Below are 7,008 nucleotides of genomic sequence, written 5' to 3'. Positions count from 1 at the left end.
TTCACTGTTTCTAGGGATTTGCCAATTTTATTTAGGTTATCTAGTTTGTTGGCAAACAATTGGTCATAGCAATCTTTTATAATACTTTTTAATTCTGTCAAGTCAGTAGGAATGCTCCTAGTTTCATTTCTAATTTTACTTATTTGCACTTTTTTATTCTTTAACAGTCCTAACTAAAGGTTTAGCAATTTTGTTGATTTTTTTAAACAACCAATCTTTGATTTTGTTGATTCTCTCTGGTTGTTTATTCTCTATTTAATTTATCTCTGCTGTAATATTTATTCTTTAATTCCTACTGAAGCTTTGTGCTTAATTTGTTCTTCTTTCTCTAATTTCTTTATCATTATTATTATACTTTAAGTTCTAGGGTACATGTGCACAAACTGCAGGTTTGTTACATATGTATACATGTGCCATGTTGGTGTGCTGCACCCATTAACTCGTCATTTACATTAGGTATATCTCCTAATGTTATACCTCCTCCCTCTCCCCACCCCACGACAGGCCCCGGTGTATGAGGTTCCCCACCCTGTGTCCAAGTGTTCTCATTGTTCAATTCCCACCTATGAGTGAGAACATGCGGTGTTTGGTTTTCCGTCCTTATGATAGTTTGCTCAGAATGATGGTTTCCAGCTTCATCTATGTCCCTACAAAGGACATGAACTCATCCTTTTTATGGCTGAATAGTATTCCATGGTGTATATGTGCCACATTTTCTTAATCCAGTCTATCATTGATGGACATTTGGGTTGGTTCCAAGTCTTTGCTATCGTGAATAGTGCCACAATAAATATACATGTGCCTGTGTCTTTATAGCAGCATGATTTATAATGCTTTGGGTGCATGCCCAGTTATGGGATCGCAGGGTCAAATGGTATTTCTAGTTCTAGATCCTTGAGGAATCACCACACTGTCTTCCACAATGGTTGAACCAGTTTACAGTCCCACCAAGAGTGTAGAAGTGTTCCTATTTCTCCACATCCTCTCCAGCACCTGTTGTTTCCTGACTTTTTAATGATCGCCATTCTAACTGGTATGAGATGGTATCTCGTTGTGGTTTTGATTTGCATTTCTCTGATGGCCAGGGATGATGAGCATTTTTTCATGTGTCTGTGGGATGCATAAATGTCTTCTTTTGAAAAGTGTCTGTTCATATCCTTTGCCCACTTTTTGATGGGGTTGTTTGATTTTTTCTTGTAAATTTGTTTAAGTTCTTTGTAGATTCTGGATATTAGCCCTTTGTCAGATGGGTAGATTGCAAAAATTTTTTCCCATTCTGTAGGCTGCCTGTTCACTCTGACGGTACTTTTTTTTTTGCTGTGCAGAAGCTCTTTAGGTTAATTAGATCCCATTTGTCAATTTTGGATTTTGTTGCCATTGCTTTTGGTGTTTTAGTCATGAAGTCCTTGCCCATGCCTATGTCCTGAATGGTATTGCCTAAGTTTTCTTCTAGGGTTTTAATGGTTTTAGGTCTAACATTTAAGTCTTTAATCCATCTTGAATTAATTTTTGCATAAGGTGTAAGGAAGGGATCCAGTTTCAGCTTTCTACATATGGCTAGGCAGTTTTCCCAGCACTATTTATTAAATAGGGAATCGTTTCCCCATTTCTTGTTTTTGTCAGGTTTGTCGAAGATCAGATCGTTGTAGATGTGTGGTATTATTTCTGGGGGCTCTATTCTGTTCCATTGGTCTATATCTCTGTTTTGGTACCAGTACCATGCTGTTTTGGTTACTGTAGCCTTGTAGTATAGTTTGAAGTCAGGTAGTGTGATGCCTCCAGATTTGTTCTTTTGGCTTTGGATTGTCTTGGCAATGCAGGCTCTTTTTTGGTTCCATATGAACTTTACAGTAGTTTTTTCCAATTCTGTGAAGAAAGTCATTGGTAGCTTGATGGGGATGGCATTGAACCTATGTTACCTTGGGCAGTATGGCCATTTTCACAATATTGATTCTTCCTACCCATGAGCATGAAATGTTCTTCCATTTGTTTGTGTCCTCTTTTATTTCATTGACCAGTGGTTTGTAGTTCTCCTTGAAGAGGTCCTTCACATCCCTTGTAAGTTGGATTCCTAAGTATTTTATTCTCTTTGAAGCAATTGTGAATGGGAGTTCACTCATGATTTGGCTCTCTGTTTGTCTGTTATTGCTCTATAGGAATGCTTGTGATTTTTGCACATTGATTTTGTATCCTGAGACTTTTGCTGAGGTTGCTTATCAGCTTAAGGAGATTTGGGGATGAGAGGATGGGGTTTTCTAAATATACAGTCACGTCATCTGCAAACAGGGACAATTTGACTTCCTCTTTTCCTAATTGAATATCCTTTATTTCTTTCTCCTGCCTGATTGCCCTGGCCAGAACTTCCAACACTATGTTGAATAGGAGTGGTGAGAGAGGGCATCCCTCTCTTGTGCCAGTTTTCAAAGGGAATGCTTCCAGTTTTTGCCCATTCAGTATGATATTGGCTGTGGGTTTGTCATAAATAGCTCTTATTATTTTGAGATAAGTCCAATCAACACCTAGTTTTTGAGAGTTTTTAGCATGAAGGGCTGTTGAATTTTGTTGAAGGCCTTTTCTGCATCTATTGAGATAATCATGTGGTTTTTGTCTTTGGTTCTGTTTATGTGATGGATTATGTTTACTGATTTTTGTGTATGTTGAACTAGCCTTGTATCCCAGGGATGAAGCCAACTTGATCGTGGTGGATAAGCTTTTTGATGTGCTGCTGGATTCGGTTTGCCAGTATTTTATTGAGGATTTTTGCATCGATGTTCATCAGGGATATTGGTCTAAAATTCTCTTTTTTTGGTGTGTCTTTAACAGGCTTTGGTATCAGGATGATGTTGGCCTCATAAAATGAATTAGGGAGAATTCCCTCTTTTTCTATTTATTGGAATAGTTTCAGAAGGAATGGTACCAGCTCCTCTTTGTACCTCTGGTAGAATTTGGCTGTGAATCCATCTGGTCCTGGACTTTTTTTGGTTGGTAGGCTATTAATTATTGCCTCAATTTCAGAACCTGTTATTGGTCTATTCAGGGATTCAACTTCTTCCTGGTTTAGTCTTGGGAGGGTGTATGTGTCCAGGAATTTATCCATTTCTTCTAGATTTTCTAGTTTATTTCCGTAGAGGTGTATATAGTATTCTCTGATGGTAGTTTGTATTTCTGTGGGATCAGTGGTGATATCCCCTTTAACATTTTTTATTGCATCTATTTGATTCTTCTCTCTTTTCTTCTTTATTAGTCTTGCTAGCAGTCTATCGATTTTATTGATCTTTTCAAAAAACCAGCTCCTGGATTCATTGATTTTTTTGAAGGGTTTTTTGTGTCTCTATCTCCTTCAGTTCTCCTCTGATCTAAGTTATTTTTTACCTTCTGCTAGCTTTTGAACATGTTTGCTCTTGCTTCTCTAGTTCTTTTAAGTGTGATGTTAGGGTGTCAATTTTAGATTTTTCCTGCTTTTGGTGTGGGCATTTAGTGCTCTAAATTTCCCTCTACACATTGCTTTAAATGTGTCCCAGAGATTTTGGTATGTTGTGTCTTTGTTCTCATTGGTTTCAAAGAACATCTTTATTTCTGCCTTCATTTCATTATGTACCCAGTAGTCATTCAGGAGCAGACTGTTCAATTTCCATCTAGTTGAGCAGTTTTGAATGAGTTTCTTAATCCTGAGTTCTAGTTTGATTATACTGCGATCTGAGAGAAAGTTTCTTATAATTTCTGTTCTTTTGCATTTGCTGAGGAGTGCTTTACTTCCAGCTATGTGGTCAATTTTGGAAGAAGTGTGATGTGGTGCTGAGAAGAATGTATACTCCGTTGATTTGGGGTGGAGAGTTCTGTAGATGTCTATTAGGTCTGCTTGGTGCAGAGCTGTGTTCAATTCCTGGATATTCTTGTTAACTTTCTGTCTCGTTGATCTGTCTAAAGTTGACAGTGGGGTGTTAAAGTCTCCCATTATTATTGTGTGGGAGTCTAAGTCTCTTTGTGGGTCTCTAAGGACTTGCCTTATGAATCTGGGTGCTCCTGTATTGGGTGCATATATATTTAGGATAGTTAGCTCTTCTTGTTGAATTGATCCCTTTACCATTTATGTAATGGCCTTCTTTGTCTCTTTTGATCTTTGTTGGTTTAAAGTCTGTTTTTTCAGAGACTAGGATTGCAACCTCTGCTTTTTTTTGGTTTTCCATTTGCTTGGAAAATCTTCCTCCATCCCTTTATTTTGAGCCTATGTGTTTCTCTGCACGTGAGATGGGTCTCCTGAATACAGCACACTGATGGGTCTTGACTCTTTATCCAATTTTCCAGTCTGTGTCTTTTAATTGGAGCATTTAGTCCATTTACATTTAAGGTTAATATTGTTATGTGTGAATTTGATCCTGTCATTATGATGTTAGCTGGTTATTTTACTCATTAGTTGATGCAGTTTCTTCCTAGCCTCAATGGTCTTTACAATTTGGCATGTTTTTGTAGTGGCTGGTACCGGTTGTTCCTTTGCATGTTTAGTGCTTCCTTCAGGAGCTCTTGTAAGGCAGGCCTAGTGGTGACAAAATCTCTCAGCATTTGTTTGTCTGTAAAGGATTTTATTTCTCCTTCACTTATGAAGCTTAGGTTGGCTGGATATGAAATTCTGTGTTGAAAATTCTTTTCTTTAAGAATGTTGAATATTGGCCCCCACTCTCTTCTGGCTTGTAGAGTTTCTGCTGAGAGATCAGCTGTTAGTCTGATGGGCTTCTCTTTGTGGGTAACCGGACCTTTCTCTCTGGCTGCTCTTAACATTTTTTCCTTCATTTCAACTTTGGTGAATCTGACAATTATGTGTCTTGGAGTTGCTCTTCTCGAGGAGTATCTTTGTGGTGTTCTCTGTGTTTCCTGAATTTGAATGTTGGCCTGCTTTGCTAGGTTGGGGAAGTTCTCTTGTATAGTATCCTGAAGAGTGTTTTCCAACTTGGTTCCATTCTCCCCATCACTTTCAGGTACACCAATCAGATGTAGATTTGGTCTTTTCACATAGTCCCATATTTCTTAGAGGCTTTGTTCATTTCTTTTTACTCTTTTTTCTCTAAACTTCTCTTCTCACTTCATTTCATTCATTTGATCTTCAGTCAATGATACCTTTCTTCCACCTGATCAAATTGGCTACTGAAGCTTGTGCATGTGTCACGTAGTTCTCGTGCCATGGTTTTCAGCTCCATCAGGTCATTTCAGGACTTCTCTACACTGGTTATTCTAGTTAGCCATTTGTCTAATCTTTTTCCAAGGTTTTTACCTTCTTTGCAATGGGTTCGAACATCCTCCTTTAGCTCAGAGAAGTTTGTTATTACTGATCATCTGAAGCCTTCTTCTCTCAACTCGTCAAAGTCATTCTCCATACAGCTTTGTTCCATTGCTGGCAAGGAGCTGCATTCCTTTGGAGGAGAAGAGGTGCTCTGATTTTTAGAATTTTCAGCTTTTCTGCCCTGGTTTCTCCCCATCTTTGTGGTTTTATCTACCTTTGGTCTTTGATGATGGTGACATACAGACGGGGTTTTGGTGTGGTTGTCCTTTCTGTTTGTTAGTTTTCCTTCTAACAGTCAGGACCCTCAGCTGTAGCTCTGTTGGAGTTTGTTGGAGGCCCACTCCAGACCCTGTTTGCCTGGGTATCACCAGTGGAGGCTGCAGAATAACAAATATTGCAGAACTGTAGATGTTGCTGCCTGATCCTTCTTCTGGAAGCTTTGTCTCAGAGGGGCACCTGGCTGTATGAGGTGTCAGTCGGCCCCTACTGGAAGGCGTCTCCCAGTTAGGCTACTCAGGGGTCAGGGACTCACTTGAGGAGGCTCAGATCTCAAACTCCGTGCTGGGAGAACCACTACTCTGTTCAAAGCTGTCAGACAGGGACGTTTAAGTCTGCAGAAGTTTCTGCTGCCTTTTGTTCAGCTATACCCTGCCCCGAGAGGCAGAGTCTACAGAGGCAGGCAGGCCTCCTTGAGCTGTGGTGGGCTCCACCCAGTTCGAGCTTCCTAGTGGCTTTGTTTAACTCCTCAAGCCTCAGCAATGGTGGACGCCCCTCCCCCAGCCTGGCTGCCGCCTTGCAGTTCGATCTCAGACTGCTGTGCTAGCAGTGCGCGAGGGTCCGTGGGCGTTAGACCCTCTGAGCCAGGCGCGGGATGTAATCTCCTGATGCGCTGTTTGCTAAGGCCGTTGGAAAATCTCAGTATTAGGGTGGGCGTTTCCTGATTTTCCAGGTACCATCTGTCATGACTTCCCTTTGCTAGGAAAGGGAATTCCCTGACCCCTTGCACGTCCTGGGTGAGGTGATGCCCCGCCCTGCTCCGTGAGCTGCACCCGCTGTCTGAGAAGCCCCAGTGACATGAACCTGGTACCTCAGTTGGAAATGCAGAAATCACCCATCTTCTTCGTTGCTCATGCTGGGAGCTGCAGACTGGAGCTGTTCCTATTTGGCCATCTTGGAACCTCCAGACTCTTTCTTTAATTTCTTGAAGTATAAATTTTGATTATTGATTTGAGACCTTTCTTCTCTTTCAATGTAGGTATTTACAGTTTTTAACTGATCTTGGCAAAATCTGCCTGGGAAGCCATCCTATCCCTGGGAATGCTCCAAGTCAGATGAAGTAAAGGCAAGGCCTTTCACAGGTCCTTAAGGGAGCCACTGGACAAATCAAAATCCACAACCACAATTCTTTGAGAACAAAATCCGTATTGCTCTTTCTTGCACTAGGAACCTGTACCAGGAATGCAACATGTTGTCCTAATAGCTGCCATGGATCTGGGATCTGGGTGATGGCTGGTGGGCAGTTTAAAATGTCACAGCATTTTCTTACTGTAGCAACTTGTCTCTTGACCAAACTTTCACCTGATTGCTGTGTTTTTAACTAGATTCCAGAGTTCTGTAAAAGTTTATTTTGACAGGTTTTACAAGCTCATTAGTTGTTTTTATGAAAGGAAAGCACCCTGGAATTTTCTTTTTTGCTATTTTTAGTGACATCACCCTAAAATTTTATTCCTTTT

General features: G+C 40.4%; 2 annotated features.

The window, feature by feature from the left end:
• Nucleotides 5,564–6,064: an enhancer, noted in NCBI's record as "H3K4me1 hESC enhancer chrX:137155991-137156491 (GRCh37/hg19 assembly coordinates)". NCBI's record gives its function as "activates a minimal SCP1, AML or CMV promoter by ChIP-STARR-seq in primed H9 embryonic stem cells {active_cell/tissue: H9 hESC(primed)}" and the evidence as "EXISTENCE:reporter gene assay evidence [ECO:0000049][PMID:30033119]".
• Nucleotides 6,065–6,565: an enhancer, noted in NCBI's record as "H3K4me1 hESC enhancer chrX:137155490-137155990 (GRCh37/hg19 assembly coordinates)". NCBI's record gives its function as "activates a minimal SCP1, AML or CMV promoter by ChIP-STARR-seq in primed H9 embryonic stem cells {active_cell/tissue: H9 hESC(primed)}" and the evidence as "EXISTENCE:reporter gene assay evidence [ECO:0000049][PMID:30033119]".

Source organism: Homo sapiens, chromosome X, assembly GCF_000001405.40.
Source record: "Homo sapiens chromosome X, GRCh38.p14 Primary Assembly".
Classification (NCBI taxonomy): domain Eukaryota; kingdom Metazoa; phylum Chordata; class Mammalia; order Primates; family Hominidae; genus Homo; species Homo sapiens.
The sequence above is the reverse complement of the archived record's forward strand: the minus strand, read 5'-3'. Positions and strand labels throughout refer to the sequence as shown.